Raw genomic sequence first — 20922 nt, forward strand, 5'->3', positions numbered from 1 at the left:
CTTCTTTTTGATGTGTGCATTCCTCTCACAGAGTTAAATCTCTCCTTTGTTTGAGCAGTTTTTAAAAACTTTTTTTTGTAGAATCTGTAAGGGGATATTTGGAGAGCTTTGAGGCCTACTCTGGAAAAGGAAATATCTTCACATAAAAACCAGACAGAAGCATTCTGAGAAACTTCTTTGCAATGTGTGCATTCGTCTCACAGAGTTGAAGATTTCTTTTGATGGAGCAGTTCTGAAACACTCTTTTTGTAGAATCCGCAAGTGGATATTTGGAGCGCTTTGAGGCCTATTGTGGAAAAGGAAATATCTTCACATAGAAACTACAGAGAAGCATTCCGAGAATCTTCTCTGGGATGTGTGCATTCATCTCACAGAGTTGAAACTTTGTTTTGATTGAGCAGTTTGAAAACACTCTTTTTGTACTATCTGCAAGTGGATATTTGGAGCGCTTTGTGACCTGTAGTGGAAAAGAAAATATCTTCACATAAAAACTACACAGAAGCATTCTGAGAAACTTCATTGTGATGTAAGCATTCAACTCACAGAGTTGAACATATCTTTTGATTGAGCAGTTTTGAAACACTGTTTTTGTAGAATCTGCAAGTGGATATTTGGAGCCCTTTGCTGCCTACGGTGGAAAAGGTAATATCTTCACATAAAAACTACACTACCCTGAAGCATTCTGAGAAACTTCCTTCTGATGTGTGCATTCATCTCACAGAATTGAACTTTTCTTTTGTTTGAGCAGTTTTGTAATACTCTTTTTGTAGAATCTGCAAATGGATATTTGTAGTACATAGGGGCCTACTGTGGAATAGGAAGTGTCTTCACATAAAAACTACACTGAAGCATTCTGAGAAACTTCTTTTCGATGTGTGCAAGCATCTCACAGAGTCAAAGATTTCTTTTGATGGAGCCGTTTTGAAACACTCTTTTTATAGAATCTGGAAGTGGATATTTGGAGTGCTTTGTAGTCTATGTTGGAAAAGGAAATATCTTCAAATAAAAACTACACAGAAGCATTCAGAGAAACTTCTTTGTGATGTGTGCATTCAACTCACAGAGTTGAACCCACCTTTTGATTGAGCAGTTTTGAAACTCTCTTTTTGTAGAATCTGCTAGTGGATATTTGGAGCCTTTTGCTGCCTATTGTGGAAAAGGAAATATCTTCACATAAAAACTACAGAGAAGTATTCTGAGAAAATTCTTTGTGATGTGTGCATTCAGCTCTCAGATTTGAAACGTTCTTTTGATTGAGCAGTTTTGAAACACTGTTTTTGTAGCATCTGCAAGTGGATATTTGGAGCGCTTTGAAGCCTCTTGTGGAAAAGGAAATATCTTCAGATTAAAACTGCACAGAAGCATTCTGAGAAACTTTTTTGCAATTTGTGCTTTCATCTCACAGAGTTGAACCTTCCTTTTGTTTGAGCAGCTTTGAAACACTCCTCTTTTTGTAGGATCTGCAATTGGATATTTGGAGCTCTTCCAGGCCTATTGTGGAAAAGGAAATGTCTTCACATAAAAACTATACAGAAGCATTCTGAGAAACTTCTTTGTGATGTGTGCATTCAACTCAAAGAGTTGAAGATATCTTGTGATGGAGCAGTTTGGAAACACTGTTTTTGAAGAATCTACAAGTGGATATTTGGAGCCCTTTACTGCCTGTGGTGGAAAAGGAAATATCTTCACCTAAAATCTACACAGAAGTATTCTGACAAACTTCTTTGTGATGTGTGCATTCAGCTCACAGAGTTGAACTTTTATTTTGATTGAGCGGTTTTGAAACACTGTTTTTGCAGCATCTGCAAGTGGATGTTTAGAGCTCTTTGAGGCCTATTATGGAAAAGGAAATATCTTCACATAAAAATTACACAGAAGCATTCTGAGAAAATTGTTTGTGATGTGTGCATTCAAGTCACAGAGTTGAACCTATCTTTTGTTTGAGCAGCTTTGAAACTCTCTTTTTGTAGAATCTGCAAATGTATATTTGTAGACCTTTGCTGCCTATGGTGGAAAAGGAAATATCTTCACATAAAAGCTACAGAGAAGTATTCTGAGAAACTTCCTTGTGATGTGTGCATTCAACTCACAGAGTTGAACCTTTCTTTTGATTGAGCAGTTTTGAAACACGGTTTTTGTAGGATCTGCAAGTGGATATTTGGAGTGTTTTGAGGCCTATTGTGGAAAAGGAAATATCTTCACATAAAAACTACCCAGAAGCATTCTGAGAAACTTCTTTACGGTGTGTGGATTCAACTCACATCGTTGAACCTTTCTTTTGATTGAGCAGTTTTGAAACTCTCTTTTTGTAGAATCTGCAAGTGGATGTTTATTTCCCTTTGAGGCCTATGTTAAAAAATGAAATATCTTCACATAAATACTAGACAGAGGCCTTCTCAGAAACTTCTTTGTGATGTGTGCATTCAAGTCACAGAGTTTAACCTTTCTATTCATAGAGCAGTTTTGACACACCCTTTCTGTAGAATCTGCAAGTGTATATTTTGAGGGCTTTCAGGACAATGGTCAAAAACGAAATATCTTCACATACAAACTAGACAGAAGCATTCTCAGAAACTTCTTTGTGATGTGGACATTCAACTCACACACTTGAACCTTTCTTTTGTTTGAGCATTTTTGAAACCCACTTTTTGTAGGATCTGCAAGTGGATATTTGGAGCGCTTTGGTACCTACTGTGGAAAAGGGTATATCTTGACATAAAAACACACAGAAACATTCTGAGAAACTTCTTTCTCAGATGAGTGCATTCATGTCACACAGTTGAAGATTTCTTTTTATGGAGCAGTTTTGAAACACTCTTTTTGAAAAATCTGCAAGTGGATATTTCGAGTGCTTTGAGGCCTATTGCAGAAAAGGAAATATCTTCACAAAAAAACTACACAGAAGCATTCTGAGAAACTACTTTGGGATCTGTGCCTTCATCTCACAGATTTGAAACTCTGTTTTGATTGAGCAGTTTGGAAACACCCTTTTTGTAGAATCTACTAGTGGATATTTGGTGCGCTTTCAGGACAATTGTGGAAAAGGAAATATCGTCACATAAAAAATACACAGAAGCATTCTGAGAAACTTATTTGTGATGTGTGGATTCAACTCACAGAGTTGAAACTATCTTTTGTTTGAGCTGTTTTGAAACTCTCTTTTTGTAGAATCTGCAAGAACATATTTGGAGCCTTTGCTGCCTTTCATGGAAAAGGAAATATCTTCCCATAAAAACTACACAGAAGTGTTCTGAGAAACTTATTTGCGATGTGTGCATTCCACTCAGAGTTGAACCTTTCTTTTGATTGAGCAGTTTTGAAATACTCTTTGAGTAGCATCTGCAAGTGGATATTTGGAGCCCTTTGATGCCTCTTGTGGCAAAGGAAATATCTTCACTTAAAAAGTACACAGAAGCATTCGGAGAAACTTCTTTGCGATGTATGCATTCATCTCACAGAGTTGAACCTTTCTTTTGTTTGAGCAGTTTTGAAACACTCTTTTTGTAGAATCTGCAAGTGGATATTTCGAGCTCTTTCTGGTCTATTGTGGAAATGGAGATAACTTCACATAAAAAGTACACAGAAATATTCTGAGAAACTTATTTGTGATGTGTGCATTCATCTCACAGTGTTGAAGCTTTCTTTTGTTTGAGCAGTTTTGAAACAATCTTTTTGTAGAATCTGCAAGTGGATATTTGGAGCGCTTTGAGGCCTGTTGTGGAAAAGGAAATATCTTCACATAAAAACTACTCAGAAGCATTCTGAGAAACTTCTTTGGGATGAGTGCATTCAACTCACAGAGTTGAAACTATCTTTTGATTGAGCAGCTTTGAAACTCTGTTTTTGTAGAATCTGCCTGTGGATATTTACAGCCCTTTTGTGGTCTATGGTGGAAAATTAAATATCTTCACATAAAAACCACACAGAAGCATTCTGAGAAACTTCTTTGTGATGTGTGTATTCAAATCATAAAATTGAAACTATTTTTTGATTGAGCAGTTTTGAATCTCTCATTTTGTAGGACCTGCAAGTGGATATTTGGAGCCCTTTGCAGCCCATTGTGGAGAAGGAAATATCTTCACATAGAAACTACACAGAAGCATTCTGAGAAATTTCTTTGGGATGTGTGCATTCATCTCACAGAGTTGAAACTTTCCTTTGTTTAGGCAGTTTTGAAACACTCTTTTTGTAGAATCTGCTAGTGGATATTTGGAGGGTTTGGGGCCTACTGTGCAAAATGAAATATCTTCAAATAAAATCTACACAGAAGCATTCTGAGAAACTTCTTTGTGATGTGAGCATTCATATCACAGAATTGAACCTTTGTTTAGATTGAGTAGTTTTGAAACACTCTTTTTATAGAATCTGCAAGTGGATATTTGGAGAGCTTAGAGGCCTATTGTGGAAAAGGAAATATCTTCACATAAAAACTTCCCAGAAGCATTCTGAGAAATTTCTTTGCAATGTGTGCATTCATCTCACAGAGTTGAAGCTTTCTTTTGATTGAGCAGTCTTAAAACACTTTTTGTAGAATCTGCAAGGGGATATTTGGAGTGCGTCGAGGCCTATTGTGGAAAAGATAATATCTTCACATAAAAACTGCACAGAAGCATTCTGGGAAACTCCTTTGTCATGTGTTCATTTAACTCACAGAGTCAAACCTATCGTTTGATGGAGCAGTTTTGAAATTCCTCTGTTTTTGTAGAATCTGCAAGTTGATTTTTAGAGCCCTTTTGCCGTCTATGGTGGAAAACGAAATATCTTCACATAAAAACTACACAGAAGCATTCTGAGAAACTTCTTTGTGATGTGTGCATTAAACACACAGAGTTGAACCTATCTTTTGATTGAGAAGTTTGGAAACAATCTTTTTGTAGAATCTGCAAGTGGATGTTTAGAGTGCTTTGAGGCCTTTAGTGGAAAAGGAAATATCTTCACATAAAAACCACACAGAAGCATTCTGAGAAACTTCTTTGTGATATGTGCATTCAGCTCACAGATTTGAACCTATCTTTTGATTTAGCAGTTTTGAATGTCTCTTTTTGTCGAATCTGGAATTGAATACTTGGAGACCTTTGTGACCAATTTTGGAAAAGGAAATATCTTCACATAAAAACTACACATAAGCATTGTGAGAAATTTCTTTGTGATGTGTGCATTCATCTCACAGAATTGAACCTTTCTTTAGATTGAGCAGTTTTGAAACACTCTTTTTATAGAGTCTGCAAGTGGACATTTGGAGTGCTTTGAGGTCTATTGTGGAAAAGGAAATATCTTCACATAGAAACTACACAGAAGCATTCTGAGAAACTTCTTTGTGATGTGCACATTCATCTCACGGAGTTGAAACTTTCCTTTGATTGAGCAGTTTTGAAACAGTCTTTTTGTAGAATCTGCAAGAAGATATTTGGAGAGTTTTGTGGCCCACGGTGGAAAAGGAAATATCTTCACATAAAAACCACACAGAAGCATTCTGAGAAACTTCTTTGCGATGTGTGCATTCCACTCACAGAGTTGAACCTATCTTTTGATTGAGCAGTTTTGAATCTCTCTTTCTGGAGAATCTGCAAGTGGATATTTGGAGAACTTTGTGGCCAATTTTGGGGAAGGAAATATCTTCACATAAAAACTACACAGAAGCATTCTGAGAAACATCTTTGTGATGTGTGTATTCAACCCATCGAATTCAACCTATATTTTGATTAAGCAGTTTTGAATCTCTCGTTTTGTAGAATCTACAAGTGGATATTTAGTGCCATTTGCTGCCTATTTTGGAAAAGGAAATATCTTCACATAAAAACTACACAGAAGCATTCTGAGACATTTCTTTGTGATGTGTGCATTCCTCTCACAGAGTTGAACCTCTCTTTTGTTTGAGCAGTTTTGAAACACACTTTAGGTAGAATCTGCAAGTAGATATTTGGAGCACTTTGGGGCCTATTGTGGAAATGGAAATATCTTCACATATAAACTACACAGAAGCATTCTGAGAAACTTCTTTGTGATTTGTGCATTCAACTCACAGAGTTGAACCTTTCTTTTGATGGAGCAGTTTTGAAACTGACTTTATGGAAAATCTGCAAGTGGATATTTGGAGCACTTTGAGGCCTATGTTGGAAAAGGAAATATCTTCACATAAAAACTACACAGAAGCATTCTGAGTAACTTCTTTTTGATGTGTGGATTCCCCTCACAGAATTGAACCTTTCTTTAGATTGAGCAGTTTAGAATCACTCTTTTTATAGAATCTACAAGTGGATATTTGGAGCACTTTGAGGCCTACTGTGGAAAAGGAAATATCTTGCCATAAAAACTGCACTGAAGCTTTCTGAGAAACTTCTCTGGGATGTGTGCATTCAACTCATAGGGTTCAAACTTTTTTTGATTGAGCAGTTTGGAAACACTTTTTTTGTAGAATCTGCAAGTGTATAATTGGAGCACTTTGAGGCCTATGGTGGAAAAGGAAATATCTTCACATAACTACACAGAAGCATTCTGAGAAACTTCTTTGCAATCTGTGCATTCGTCTCACAGAGTTGAACCTTTCTTTTAATGAGCAGTTTGGAAACACTGTTTTTGCAGAATCTGTAAGTGGATATTTGGAGCACTTTGAGGTCTATTGTGGAAAAGGAAAGATCTTCACATAAAATCTACACAGAAGCATTCAGAGAAACTTCTTTCAGTTGTGTGCATATATTTGACAGAGTTGAACCCATATTTTGACTGAGCAGTTTTGAAACCCACTTTTTGTAGAATCGGCAAGTGGATATTTAGAGCCCTTTGCAGCCTATGGTTTAAAAGTTAATATCTTCACATAAAAACTACACAGAAACATTGTGAGAAACATATTTGTGATATGTATATTCAAATCATAGAATAGGACCTATCTATCTTTTTATTGAGCAGTTTTGAATCTGTCATTTTGTAGAATCTCCAAGTGGATATTAAGAGCCCTTTGCGGCCTATTTTGGAAAAGGAAATATCTTCACATAAAAACTACCCGGAAGCATTCTGAGAAACTTCTTTGTGATTTTTGCACTCATCTCACAGAGTTGAACCTTTCTTTTGTTTGAGCATTTTTGAAACCCTCATTTTGTAGAATCTGCAAGTGGATATTTGGAGTGCTTTGGGACCTACTGTGGAAAAGGATATACCTTGACATAAAAACTACACTGAAGCATTCTGAGAAACTTCTTTGAGATGTGTTCATTCATCTCACAGAGTTGAAGATTTCTTTTGATGGAGCAGTTTTGAAATAATCTTTTTTTTAAATTTTTTTTATAATACTTTTAGGGTACATGTGCACATTGTGCAGGTTAGTTACATATGTATACATGTGCCATGCTGGTGCGCTGCACCCACTAACTCATCATCTAGCAGTAGGTATATCTCCCAATGCTATCCCTTCCCCCTTTCCCCACCCCAGAAAAGTCCCCAGAGTGTGATATTCCCCTTCCTGTGTCCAAAATGATGAGTTCATGTCCTTTGTAGGGACATGGATGAAATTGGAAATCATCATTCTCAGTAAACTATCGCAAGAACAAAAAACCAAACACCGCATATTCTCACTCGTAGGTGGGAAGTGAACAATGAAATAATATTTTTGTAGAATCTGCAAGTAGATATTTGGAGCGCTCTGAGGCCTGTTGTGGAAAACGAAATATCTTCACATAAAAACTACATGGAAGCATTCTGAGAAACTTCTTTGGGATGTGTGCATTCATCTCATAGATTTGAAACTTGGTTTTGAGTAATCAGTTTGGAAACAATCTTTTTGTAGAATCTGCAGTGGATGTTTAGAGTGCTTTGAGGCCTTTGGTGGAAAAGGAAATATCTTCACATAAAAACTACACAGAAGCATTCTAAGAAACTCCTTTGTGATGTGTGCATTCAACTCACAGAGTTGAATCTATCTTTTGATAGAGCAGTTTTGAAACTCTCTTTTTATAGAATCTGCAAGTGCATATTTAGAGCCCTTTGCTACCTATGGTGGAAAAGGAAATGTCTTCACATAAAAACTACAAAGAAGCATTCTGAGAAACTACTTTGTGATGAGTGTATTCAACTCATAGAATTGAACGTATCTTTAGATTGAGCAGTTTTGAATCTCTCATTTTGTAGAATTCGCAAGTGGATATTTGGAGCAATTTGTGGACTATTCTGGAAAAGGAAATGTCTTCATATAAAAACTACCCAGAGGCATTTTGAGAAACTTTTTTGTGATGTGTGCATTCATTCCACAGAGTTCAACCTTTCTTTAATTTGGGCAGTTTTGAAACACTCTTTGTGTAGAATCTGCAAGTTGATATTTGGAGTGGTTTGTGGCCTACTGTGGAAAAGGAAATATCGTCACATAAAAACTTCACAAAAGCATTCTGAGAAACTACTTCGTGATGTGTGCATTCATCTCACAGAGTTGAACACTTATTTTGATGGAGCAGTTTTGAAACACTTTTTTGTAGAGACTGCAAGTGGATATCTGCAGCCTTTTGCAGCCTATGGTGTTAGGAAATATCTTCACATAAAAACTAGATGGAAGCATTCTCAGAATTTCCTTTGAGATGTGTGCATTTATCTCATAGAGTTGAAGCTTTCTTTTGATAGAGTAGTTTTGAAACACTCTTTTTGTAGAATTTGCAAGTGGATATTTGAAGTGCCTTCAGGCCTATGGTGGAAAAGGAAATATCATCACATAAAAACTAGACAGAAGCATTCTCAGAAACTTCTGTGTGAGGTGTGCATTCAACACACAGAGTTGCACATTTCTTTTGGTAGAGCAGTTTTGAAAGACTGTCTTTGTAGAATCTGCAAGTGGATATTTCTAGGGCTTTGAGGCCAAGAGTGGAAAAGGAAATATCATCACATAAAAATTAGACAGAAGCATTCTCAGAAACTTCTTTGTGATGAGTGCATTCAACACACAGAGTTGAACCTTTCTTTTGATAGAGTAGTTTTGAAACACTCTTTTTGTAGAATCTGCAAGCAGATATTTGGAGCACTTTGTGGGCCATGGTGGATAAGGAAATATCTTCACATAAAAACAAGACAGAAGGATTTTCAGGAACTTCTTTGTGATGTGTACATTCAACTCACAGAGCTGAACCTTTCTTTTGATAGAGCAGTTTTGAAACACTATTTTTGTGGAATCTGCAAGTGGCTACTTGGAGAGATTTGGGGCTTTTGGTGGAAAAGGAAATATCTTCACATAAAAACTAGACAGAAGCATTGTCAGAAACTCCTTTGTGATATGTGCATTCAACTCATGGAGGTGAAATTTTCTTTTGATAGAGCAGCTTTGAAACACACTTTTTCTAGAATCTCCAAGCAGATATTTCCAGCGCTTTGAGGCCAGTTGTGGAAAAGGAAATATCCTCAAGTAAAAACTAGAATGAAGCATTCTCAGAAACTTCTTTGTGATGTGTGCATTCAACACACAGAGTTGAACCTTTCTTTTGCTAGAGCAGTTTTGAAACACTCTTTTTGCAGAATCAGCAAGTGGATATTTGCAGTAGGTTGAGGCCTATATTGGAAAAGGGAATATCTTCACATAAAAACTGGACACAAGTATTATCAGAAACATCTTTGTGATGTGTGCATTCAACTTACATAGTTGAACATTTGTTTTGATAGAGCAGTTTTGAAGCACTGTTTTTGTAGAATCTGCAAGTGCATATTTGAAGTGCTTTGAGGCCTACGGTGGAAAAGGAAATATCTTCACATGAAAACTAGACAGAAGCCTTCTCAGAAACTTCTTTGTGATGTGTGTTTTCAACGCACAGAGTTGAACCTGTCTTTTGAAAGAGTAGTTTTGAGACACACTTTTTGTAGAATCTGCAAGTAGATATTTGGAGCGCTTTGAGGCCTATGGTTTAAAAGGAAATATCTTCACATAAAAACTAGACAGAATCATTCTCAGAAACTAATTTGTGATGTGTGCATTCAACTAACAGATTTGAACCTATCTTTTCATAGAGCAGTTTTGAGAGCCTCTATTTGTAGACTCTGCAAGTGGATATTTTTAGCACTTTGAAGCCAATGGCAGAAAAGGAAATATCTTCACATAAAAACTAGACATAAGCCTTCTCAGAAATTTCTTTGTGATGTGTGCATTCAACACTCAGAGTCCAACCTGTCTTTTGATTGAGGAGTTCTAAAACCCTCTTTTTGTAGAATCTGCAAGTGGATATTTGGGGTGATTTGAGGCCTGTGGTGGAAAAGGAAATATCTTCACCTAAAAACTAGACAGAAGCATTCTCGGAAACATCTTTGTGATGTGTGCACTCAACTCACAGAGTTGAACCTTTCCTTTGATAGAACAGTTTTGAGACACACCTTTTGCAGAATCTTCAAGTGGCCTCTTACAGCACTTTGAGGCCTATGGTGGAAAAGGATATATCTTCACCTAAAAACTAGACAGAAGCATTCTCAGAAACTTCTCTGGATGTCTGCATAAAACTCACAAAGCTGAACGTTTCTTTTGATTGAGCGGTTTTGAAACTCTCTTTCTGTAGAATCTGCAAGTGGATATTTGGTGCGCTTTGAGGCCTATGCTGGAAAGGAAATATCTTCACATAAAATCTAGACAGAAACATTCTCAGAAACTTCTTTCTGTTGAGTGAATTCAACTCACAGAGTTGAAACTTTCTTTTGATTGAGCAGTTTTGAAACACTCTGTTTGTAGAATCTGCAGGTGGATATTTGGAGCGTTTTGAGGCCTTTGGTGGAAAAGGAAATATCTTCACATAAAAGCTAGACAGAAGCATTCTCAGAAATTTTTGAGATGTGTGCATTCAACTCACAGAGTTGAACCTTTCTTTTGATTGGGCAGTTTTGAAACACTCTTTTTGTAGAATCTGCAAGTGGATATTTGGAGCGCTTTTATGCCTACGTTAGAAAAGGAAATATCTTCACAGAAAACCTGGACAGAAGCATTCTCAGAAACTTCTTCGTGATGTGTGCCTTCAACTCACAAAGTTGAAACTTCCTTTTGATTGAGCGGTTTTGAAATACTCTTTTTGTCGAACTTGTAAGTGGATATTTGAAGCGCTATGAGGCCTATGGTGGAAAAGGTATATTTTCACATAAAAACTAGACAGAAGCATTCTCAGAAACTATTTTGTGATGTGTGCATTCAACTCACAGAGTTGAACCTTTCCTTTGATTGAGCACTTTTGAATCACTATTTTTGTAGAATCTGGAAGTGGATAATTGGAGTGCTTTGAGGACTGTGGTGGAAAAAGAAATATCTTCCTATAAAAACTAGACAGAGGAATTCTCAGAAACTTCTTTGTGATGTGCGAATTCAACTCACAGAGTTCAACTTTATTGTGATAGAGCATTTGGAAACACTCTTTTGGTAAAATCTCAGGTTCAACTCACAGTTGAACCTTTCCTTGGAGCAGTTTTGAAACACTCTTTTTGTTGAATCTGCAAGTGGATATTTGGAGCACTTTGAGGCATATGGTGGAAAGGGGAATATCTTCACAAAATAACTAGACAGAAGCATTCTCAGAAACATCTTTGTGATGTGTGCATTAAACTCAGAGAATTGAACCTTCCTTTTGATAGAGCAGTTCTGAAACACTGTTTTTGTAGAATCTGGAAGTGGACGTTTGGAGTGCTTTGAGGCCTATGGTAGAAAAGGAAATATCTTCATATAAAAACGAGACAGAAGAATTCTCAGAAAATACTTTGTGATGTTTGCATTCAACTCACAGCGTTGAACATACCTTTTTATGGAGTAGTTTTGAAACACTCTTTTTGTAGAATCTGCAAGTGTATATTTGGAGCGATTTGAGGCCTTCGTTGTAAACGGGAATATCTTCACATAAAAACTAGACAAAAGCATTCTCAGAAACTTCTTTGTGATGTGTGCATTCAACTCATAGAATTGAACCTTCCTTCTGATAGAGCAGTTTTGAAACACTCTTTTTATAGAAACTTCAAGTGGATATTTGGAGCGCTTTGAGGCCTTCGGTGGAAACGGGAATGACTTCACATAAAAACTAGACAGAAGCCGTCTCAGAAACTTCTTTGTAATGTGTGCATTCAACACACAGAGTTGTGCCTTTCTTTTGATAGAGCAGTTTTGAGACACTCTTTTTGTAGGATCTGCAATTGGAAAGATGGAGAGCTTTGAGGCCTGTGGTGGAAAACAAATTATCATCTTCATACAAAAACTAGACAGAAGCATTCTCAGAAACTTCTTTGTGATGTGTGCATTCAACTCACAGAGATGAACCTTCCTTTTTACATAGCTGTTTTGAAACACTCTTTTTGTAGAATCTTCAAGTGGATATTTGGAGCCATTTGATTCCTAGGCTGAAAAAGGGAATATCTTAACATAAAAACTAGACAAAAGCATTCTCAGAAACTTCTTTGTGATGTGTGCATTCAACTCAGAGAGCTGAACCTTCCTTTTGATAGAGCAGTTTTCAAACACTCTTTTTGTAGAATCTGCAAGTGGATAATTGGAGTCCTTTGATTCCTTCGGTGAAAAAGGGAAGATCTTCACGTAAATACTGGACGGAAGCATTCTCAGAAACTTCTTTGTGATGTGTGCATTCAACTCACAGAGCTGAACCTTTCTTTGGATAGAGCAGTTTTGAAACACTCTTTTTGTAGAATCTGCAAGTGGACATTTGGAGCGCTTTGAGGCCTGTGGTGGAAAAGGAAATATCTTCATATGAAAACTAGACAGAAGCATTCTCAGAAACAACTTTGTGATGTTTGCATTCAACTCATAGAGTAGAACATTCCTTTTGATAGAGCAGCTTTGAAACACTCCCTTTGTAGAATCTGCAAGTGGATATTTGGACCGCTTTGTGGCCTTCGGTGGAAACGGGAATATCGTCACGTAAAAACTAGACAGAAGTATTATCAGAAACTTCTTTGTGATGCATGCATTCAACTCAGAGGGTTGAAACTTCCTTTTGATAGAGCAGTTTTGAAACAATCTTTTTGTAGAATCTGCAACTGGATATTTGGAGCGGTTTGAGGCCTATGGTAGGAAAGGAAAAGTCTTCATATAAAAACTGGACAGAGGCCGGGCGCGGTGGCTCACGCCTGTAATCCCAGCACTTTGGGAGGCTGAGGCGGGCAGATCACGAGGTCAGGAGATCGAGACCATCCTGGCTAAAACGGTGAAACCCCGTCTCTACAAAAAATACAAAAAAATTAGCAGGGCATAGTGGCGGGTGCCTGTAGTCCCAGCTACTTGGGAGGCTGAGGCAGGAGAATGGCGTGAACCCTGGAGGCGGAGCTTGCAGTGAGCCGAGATCCCGCCACTGCACTCCAGCCTGGGCGACAGAGTGAGACTCCGTCTCAAAAAAAAAAAAAAAACTGGACAGAAACATTCTCAGAAATTATTTGTGACTTGTGCATTCAACTCACAGGGTTGGACCTTTCTTTTGATAAAGCAGTTTTGAAAACATTCTTTTTTTAGGATCTGCAAGTGGACATTTAGAGCGCTTTGATGTGTATGGTGAAAAATGAAATATCTTCACATAAAAACTAGACACAGGTATTCTCAATAACTCCTTTGTGATGTTAGCATTCAACTCATAGTGTTGAACATTCCTTTTGATAGAGCAGTTTTGAAACACTCTTTTTGTAGAATCTGCAAGTGGACATTTGGAGCACTTTGAGGCTTGTGGTGGAAAAAGAGATATCTTCATATAAAAACTAGTCAGAAGCTTTATCAAAAACTCCTTTGTGATGTGTGCATTCAACGCACAGATTTGAACATTCCTTTTTATAAAGTAGTTTTGAAACACTATTTTTGTAGAATCTGCAAGTGGATATTTGGAGCGCTTTGAGGCCTTCGGTGGAAACGGGAATATCTTCATATAAAAACTAGACAGAAGTATTCTCAGAAACTCCTTTGTGATGTGTGCATTCAACTTAGAGAGTTGCACATTCCTCCTGATAGAGCAGCTTTGAAACACTCTTGTAGAATCTGCAAGTGGATATTTGGAGCACTTTGAGGCCTTCTGTGGAAACGGGAATATCTTCACATAAAAACTAGACAGAAGCATTCTCAGAAACTTCTTTGTGATGTGTGCATTCAACTCACAGTGTTGAACCTTCCTTTTGACAGAGCAGTTTTGAAACACTCTTTTTGTAGAATCTGCATGTGGATATTTGGAGCGCCTTGAGGCCTTCGGTGGAAATGGGAATATCTTCACATAAAAACTAGACAGAAGCATTCTCAGAAACTTCTTTCTGATGTGTGTATTCAAATCACAGATTTGAACCTTCCTTCTGATAGAGCAGTTATGAAACACTCTTTTTGTAGAATCTGTATTAGAACATTTGGAGTGCTTTGAGGCCTGTGGTGGAAAACGAAATATCTTCACATAAAAAGTAGACAGAAGCATTCTCAGAAACTTCTTTGTGATGTGTGCATTCAACTCAGAGAATTGAACCTTCGTTTTGATAGACCAGTTTTGAAACACTGTTTTTCTAGAATCTTGAAGTCGATATTTGGATCGCTTTGTGGTTTATGGTAGAAAAGGAAATATCTTCATATAAAAACTAGACGGAAGCATTCTCAGAAACTACTTTGTGATGTTTGCATTCAAATCACAGAGTTGAACATTCCTTTTGATAGAGCAGTTTTGAAACACTCTTTTTGTAGAATCTGCAAGTGGATATTTGTAGCTTTTTGAGGCCTATGGTGGAAACAGCAATATCTTCACCTAAAAACTAGACAGAAGCATTCTGAGAAACTTCTTTGTGATTCATGCATGGAACTCAGAGAGTTGAAACTTCCTTTTGATTGAGCAGTTTTGAAATACGCTTTTTGTAGAATCTGCAACTGTATACTTGGAGTGCTTTGAGGCCTACAGTAGGAAAGGAAATATCTTAATATAAAAACTACACAGAAGTATAATCAGAAACTACTTTGTGATGTCTGCATTCAACTCAGACTGTTGAACATTTCTTTTGATAGAGCACTTTTGAAACACTGTTTTTGTAGAATCTGCAAGTGGACGTTTAGAGCGCTTTGATGCCTATGGTGAAAAAGGAAATATCTTCACATAAAAGTTGGACAGAAGCATTCTCAGAAACTTCTTTTTGATGTGTGCATACAACTCACAGAGTTGAACATTGCTTCTGATAGAGCAATTTTGAAACCCTCTTTTTGTAAAATCTGCAAGTGAATATTTTGACCACTTTGAGGCCTTCATTTGAAACGGAAATATTTTCATATAAAAACTAGACAGAATCATTCTCAGAAACTTCTTCATGATGTTTGCAATCAACTCACAGAATTGAATCTTCCTTTTGATAGAGCAGTTTTGAAACACTCTTTTTGTAGAATCGGCAAGCACATATTTTGAGCCCTTTGAGGCCTTCAGTGGAACAGGGAATACCTTCACATAAAAACTAGACAGAAGCATTCCCAGAAGCTTCTTTGTGCTGTGTGCATTCAACTCACGGAGATGAACCTTTCTTTTGATAGAGCAGTTTTGAAGCACTCTTTACGTAGAATATGCAAGTCGACATTTGGAGTGCTTTGAGGCATGTGGTAGAAAAGGAGATATCTTGATATAAAAACTAGACAGAAGCATTCTCAGAAACAACTTTGCGATGTTTGCATTCAACTCACAGAGTTGAACATTCCATTTGACAGAGCAGTTTTGTAACACTCTTTTTGTAGTATCTGCAAGTGGATATTTGGACTGCTTTGAGGTCTTCGGTGGAAACGGGAATATCTTCACATGAAAACTAGACAGAAGCATTCTCAGAGACTTCATTCTGACTTTTGCATTCAACTCACAGAGTTGAACCTTCCCACTGATAAAGCAGTTTTGAAACACTCTTTTTGTAGAATCTGCAAGTGGATATTTGGAGAGCTTTGAGGACTTCGGTGTAAACGGGAATATCTTCACATAAAAACTAGTCAGAAGAATTCTCAGAAAATACTTTGTGATGTGTGCATTCAACTCACAAGTTGAACATTCCTTTTTATAGAGCAGTTTTGAAACACTCTTATTGTAGAATCTGCAAGAGGATCATTGGAACTCTTTGAGGCCTATGGTAGAAAAGGAAATATCTTCATATAAAAACTACACAGAAGCTTTCTCAGAAACTTCTTTGTGATGGCTGCATACAACTCACAGAATCGAACCATTCTTTTAGCAGAGCCGTTTTGAAACACTCTTTTTGTAGAATCTGCAAGTGGACATTTGGTGTGCATTGAGGCCTGCGGTGGAAAAGGAGATATCATCACATAAAAACTAGACAGAAGCATTCTCAGAAACTACTTTGGGATGTTTGCGTTCAACTCACAGTGTTGAACATTGCTTTTCATAGATCAGTTTTGAAACACTCTTTTTGTAGAATCTGCAAGTGGATATTGGGACTGCTTTGAGGACTTCGGTGGAAACGGGAATCTCTTCACATAAAAACTAGACAGAAGCATTCTCAGAAACTTCTTTGTGATGTGTGCATTCAACTCACAGAGTTGAATGTTCCTTTTGATAGAACAGTTTTGAAACACTTTTTTTGTAGAATCTGCAAGTTGATATTTGTAGAGCTTTAAGGCCTTCAGTGGAAACGGGAATCTCTTCAGATAAAAACTAGACCGAAGCATTCTGAGAAATTTCTTTGTGATGTATGTATACAATTCACCGAGTTGAACATTTCTTTTAATAGAGAGGTTTTGAAACACTGTTTTTGTAGAATCTGTAAGTGGACATTTGGAGCTCTTTGAGGCCTGTGGTGGAAAAGGAAATATATTCACATAAAAACTAGACAGAAGCATTCTCAGAAACTTCTTTGTGATGTGTGCATTCAACTCAGTGAATTGAACCTTCCTTTTAATAGAGCAGTTTTGAAACAGTGTTTTTGTAGAAGCTGGAAATAGATATTTGAGCCCTTTGAGGCCTATGGTAGAAAAGGAAATATCTTCATATAAAAACTAGACAGAAGGATTCTCAGGAACTACATTGTGATGTTAGCATTCAACTCATAGTGTTGAACATTCCTTTTGATAGAGCAGTTTTGAAACATGCTTTTTGTAGAATCTGCAACTGTATAATACGAGCGCTTTGAGGCCTATACTAGAAAAGGAAATATCTTCATATAAAAACTAGACAGAAGCATTCCCAGAAACTACTTTCCGATGTGTGTATTCAACTCACAGAGGTGAACATTTCCTTTTATAGAGCAGTTTTGAAACACTGTTTTTGTAGAATCTGCAAGAGGACATTTAGAGCACTTTGATGCCTATGGTGAAAAAGGAAATATCTTCACATAAAAACTAGACAGAAGCATTCTCAGAAACATCTTTCTGATGTCTGCATTCATCTCACAGAGTTGAACCTTCCTTTTCATAGAGCAGTTTTGAAACACACTTTATAGAGTCTGCATGTGGATATTTGGAGCGCTTTGAGGCCTACGGTGGAAACGGGAATATCTTCCCATAAAACCTACACAGAAGTATTCTCAGAAACTTCTTTGCATTGTGTGCATTGAACTCCGAGATATGAACCTTCCTTTTGATACAGCAGCTTTGAAACACACTTTTAGTAGAATCTGCAAGTGGATATTTGGAGCTCTTTGAGGCCTAAGGTAAAAAAGGGAATATCTTCATATAACAACTAGACAAAAGCATTCTAAGAAACTACTCTGTGATGTCTGCATTAAACTCACAGTGTTGAAACTTTCTTTTGATAGAGCAGTTTTGAAACACTCTTTTTGTAGAATCTGTATGTGGACATTTGGAGCTCTTTGATGCCCATGGTGAAAAAGGAAATATCTTCCCATAAAAACCACACAGAAGCATTCTCAAAAGCTTCTTTGTGTTGTGTGCATTGAATTCAGATTGTTGAACCTTCCTTTTGATAGAGCTGTTTTGAAACACTCTTTTTGTAGAGTCTGCAAGTGCATATTTGGAGCACTTTGAGGCCTTCAATGCAAACGGGAATATCTTCACATAAAAACTAGACACAAGCATTCTCAGAAACTTCTTTGTGATGTGTGCATTGACCTCAGAGTGTTGAACCTTCCTATCAATACAGCAGTTTTGAAACACTCTTTTTGTAGAATCTGCAAGTGGATATTTGGAGTCCTTTGACGCCTATGGTAGAAAAGGAAATGTCTTCATATAAAAACAAGACAGAATCATTCTGAGAAACTTCTTTGTGATGCCTGCATTCAACTCACAGAGTTGAACCTTCCTTTTGATAGAGCAGTTTTGAAACACTCTTTTTGTAGAATCTGCAACTGGATATTTGATGCGCTTGTAGGCCTATGGTAGGAAATGATATATCTTCATATAAAACTAGAAAGAAGCATTCTCAGAAACTAGTTTGTGACGTGTGCATTGAATTCACAGAGTTGAACATTTCTTTCAATAGAGCAGTTTTGAAACACTCTTTTGGTAGAATCTGCAAGTGGATATTTAGAGCGCTTTCATGCCTACGGTGAAAAAGGAAATATCTTCACATAAAAACTGGACAGAAGCATTCCCAGAAACTTCTTTGTGATGTGTGCATTGAACTCAGAGTGTTCAACCTTCCTTTTGATAGAGCAGTTTTGAAACACTCTTTTTATAGAATCTGCAAGTGGATATTTGGAGCGCTTTGAGGCCTTCTGTGGAAACGGGAATATCTTTACATAAAAACAACACACAATCATTCTCAGAAACTTCTTTGTGATGTGTGCATTGAACTCAGAGAGTTGAACCTTTCTTTTGATAGAGCAGTTTTGAAACACTCTTTTGGTAGAATCCGCAAGTGGATATTTGGAGCGCTTTGAGGCCTATGGTAGAAAAGGATTTATCTTCATTAAAAAAAATTGACAGAAGCATTCTCAGAAACTTCTTTGTGATGCCTGCATTCAACCCACAGAGTTGAAACTTTCTTTTGATAGAGCAATTTTTGAAACACTCTTTTTGTATAATCCGCAAGTGAACATTTGGAGAGCTTTGATGCCTATGTTGAAAAAGGAAATATCTTCACATAAAAACTAGACAGATGCATTCTCAGATACTTCTCTGTGATGTGTGCATTCAACTGACAGAGTTGAACATTTCTTTTGATAGAGCAGTTTTGAAACACTCTTTTTGTAGAATCTGCAAATGGACATTTGGAGCACTTTGAGGCCTATGTTGAAAAAGGAAATACCTTTACATAAAAACTAGACAGAAGCCTTCTCAGAAACTACTTTGTGATGTTTGCATTCAACTCACAGAGTTGAACATTCCTTTTGATAGAACAGTTTTGAAATACTCTTTTTGTAGAATCTGCAAGTGGATATTTGGAGCACTTTGAGGCCTTCGGTGGAAACGGGAATATCCTAACATAAAAACTAGTCAGAAGCATTCTCACAAAGTTCTTTTTGATGTGTGCATTCAACTCACAGTGTTGAGCCTTCCTTTTGATAGAACAGTGTTGAAACAATCTTTTTGTAGAATCTGCAAGTGGATATTTGGAGTGCTTTGAGGCCTTCGGTGGAAAAGAAAATATCTTCACATAAAAAGTAGACAGAAGGAGTCTCAGAAACTACTTTGTGATGTTTGCCCTGAACACAGAGAGTTGAACCTTCTTTTAGATAGAGCAGTTTTGAAACACTCTTTTTGTATAACCAGTAAGGGTACATTTGGAGGGCTTTGAGGCCTTCCGTGGAAACGGGAATAGCTTCACATAAAAACTAGACAGAAGCATTCTCAGAAACTACTTTGTGATGTGTTCCTTCAACTCACAGAGATGAAGCTTCCTTTTGATAGAGCAGTTTTGAAACACTATTTTTGTAGAATCTGCAATGGATATTTGGAGCACTTTGCGGCCTTTGGTGGAAACGGGAATATCTTCACATAAAAACAAGACACAAGCATTCTCAGAATCTTCTTTGTGATGTGTGCATTGAACTCAAAAAGTTGAACCTTCATTTTGATAGAGCAGTTTTGAAACACCTTTTTGTAGAATCTGCAAGTGGATATTTGGAGCGCTTTGCGACCTATGGTAGAAAAAGAAATATCTTCATATAAAAACTTGACAGAAGCATTCTCAGAAGCTTCTTTGTGATGCCTGCATTCAACTCACATAGTTGAACCTTTCCATTGACAGAGAAGTTTTGAAACACTCTTTTTGTACAATCTGCAAGTGGACATTTGGAGCTCATTGATGCCTATGTTGAAAAAGGAAATATCTTCACATAAAAACTAGACAGAAGCATTCTCAGAAACTTCTCTGTGATGTGTGCATTCAACTCACTGAGTTGAACATTCCTTTTGATATAGCAGTTTTGAAACACTCTTTTTGTATATTCTGCAAGTGAATATTTGGAGCGATTTGAGACCTATGTTAGAAAAGGAATTATCTTCCTATAAAATCTAGACAGAAGCATTGTCAGAAACTTCTTTGTGATGCCTGCATTCAACTGACAGGGTTGAACCTTTCTTTCGATAGGGCATTTTGGGAACACTCTTTTTGTAGAGTCTGCAATTGGACATTCGGAGCACTTTGAGGCCTGTGGAGGAAAAGGTAATATCTTCATATAAAAAACTAGACAGAAGCATTCTCAGAAACTACTTTGTGATGTTTGCATTCAACTCATAGAGGTGAACATTCCTTTTGATAGAGCAGTTTTGAAACACTCTTTTTGTAGAAACTGCAAGTGGATATTTGGAGCACTTCGAGGTCTGTGGGGGAAAAGGAAATATCTTCACATAAAACCTAGACAGAGGCATTCTCAGAAACTTGTTTGTGATTTGTGCATTCAACTCAGGGAATGGAGCCTTCCTTTTGATAGAGCAGTTTTGAAACACTCTTTTTATAGAATCTGCAACTGGATATTTGGAGCGCTTTGTGGCCCATTGTAGGAAAGGAAATACCTTCATATAAAAACTAGACAGAAGCATTCTCAGAAACTACTTTTTGATGTGTGCATTCAACGGATGGAGATGAATCT

At 37.1% G+C, this 20922-nt stretch overlaps 5 annotated features.

Annotated features, from left to right (window-relative positions):
* Positions 8663-9442: an enhancer, noted in NCBI's record as "OCT4-NANOG hESC enhancer chrX:61809748-61810527 (GRCh37/hg19 assembly coordinates)". NCBI's record gives its function as "activates a minimal SCP1, AML or CMV promoter by ChIP-STARR-seq in naive H9 embryonic stem cells {active_cell/tissue: H9 hESC(naive)}" and the evidence as "EXISTENCE:reporter gene assay evidence [ECO:0000049][PMID:30033119]".
* Positions 9457-10132: an enhancer, noted in NCBI's record as "OCT4-NANOG hESC enhancer chrX:61810542-61811217 (GRCh37/hg19 assembly coordinates)". NCBI's record gives its function as "activates a minimal SCP1, AML or CMV promoter by ChIP-STARR-seq in naive H9 embryonic stem cells {active_cell/tissue: H9 hESC(naive)}" and the evidence as "EXISTENCE:reporter gene assay evidence [ECO:0000049][PMID:30033119]".
* Positions 10148-10738: an enhancer, noted in NCBI's record as "OCT4-NANOG hESC enhancer chrX:61811233-61811823 (GRCh37/hg19 assembly coordinates)". NCBI's record gives its function as "activates a minimal SCP1, AML or CMV promoter by ChIP-STARR-seq in naive H9 embryonic stem cells {active_cell/tissue: H9 hESC(naive)}" and the evidence as "EXISTENCE:reporter gene assay evidence [ECO:0000049][PMID:30033119]".
* Positions 14307-14891: an enhancer, noted in NCBI's record as "OCT4-NANOG hESC enhancer chrX:61815392-61815976 (GRCh37/hg19 assembly coordinates)". NCBI's record gives its function as "activates a minimal SCP1, AML or CMV promoter by ChIP-STARR-seq in primed H9 embryonic stem cells {active_cell/tissue: H9 hESC(primed)}" and the evidence as "EXISTENCE:reporter gene assay evidence [ECO:0000049][PMID:30033119]".
* Positions 20296-20864: an enhancer, noted in NCBI's record as "OCT4-NANOG hESC enhancer chrX:61821381-61821949 (GRCh37/hg19 assembly coordinates)". NCBI's record gives its function as "activates a minimal SCP1, AML or CMV promoter by ChIP-STARR-seq in primed H9 embryonic stem cells {active_cell/tissue: H9 hESC(primed)}" and the evidence as "EXISTENCE:reporter gene assay evidence [ECO:0000049][PMID:30033119]".

The sequence above is a fragment of the Homo sapiens genome, chromosome X (assembly GCF_000001405.40).
Source record: "Homo sapiens chromosome X, GRCh38.p14 Primary Assembly".
Classification (NCBI taxonomy): Eukaryota; Metazoa; Chordata; class Mammalia; order Primates; family Hominidae; genus Homo; species Homo sapiens.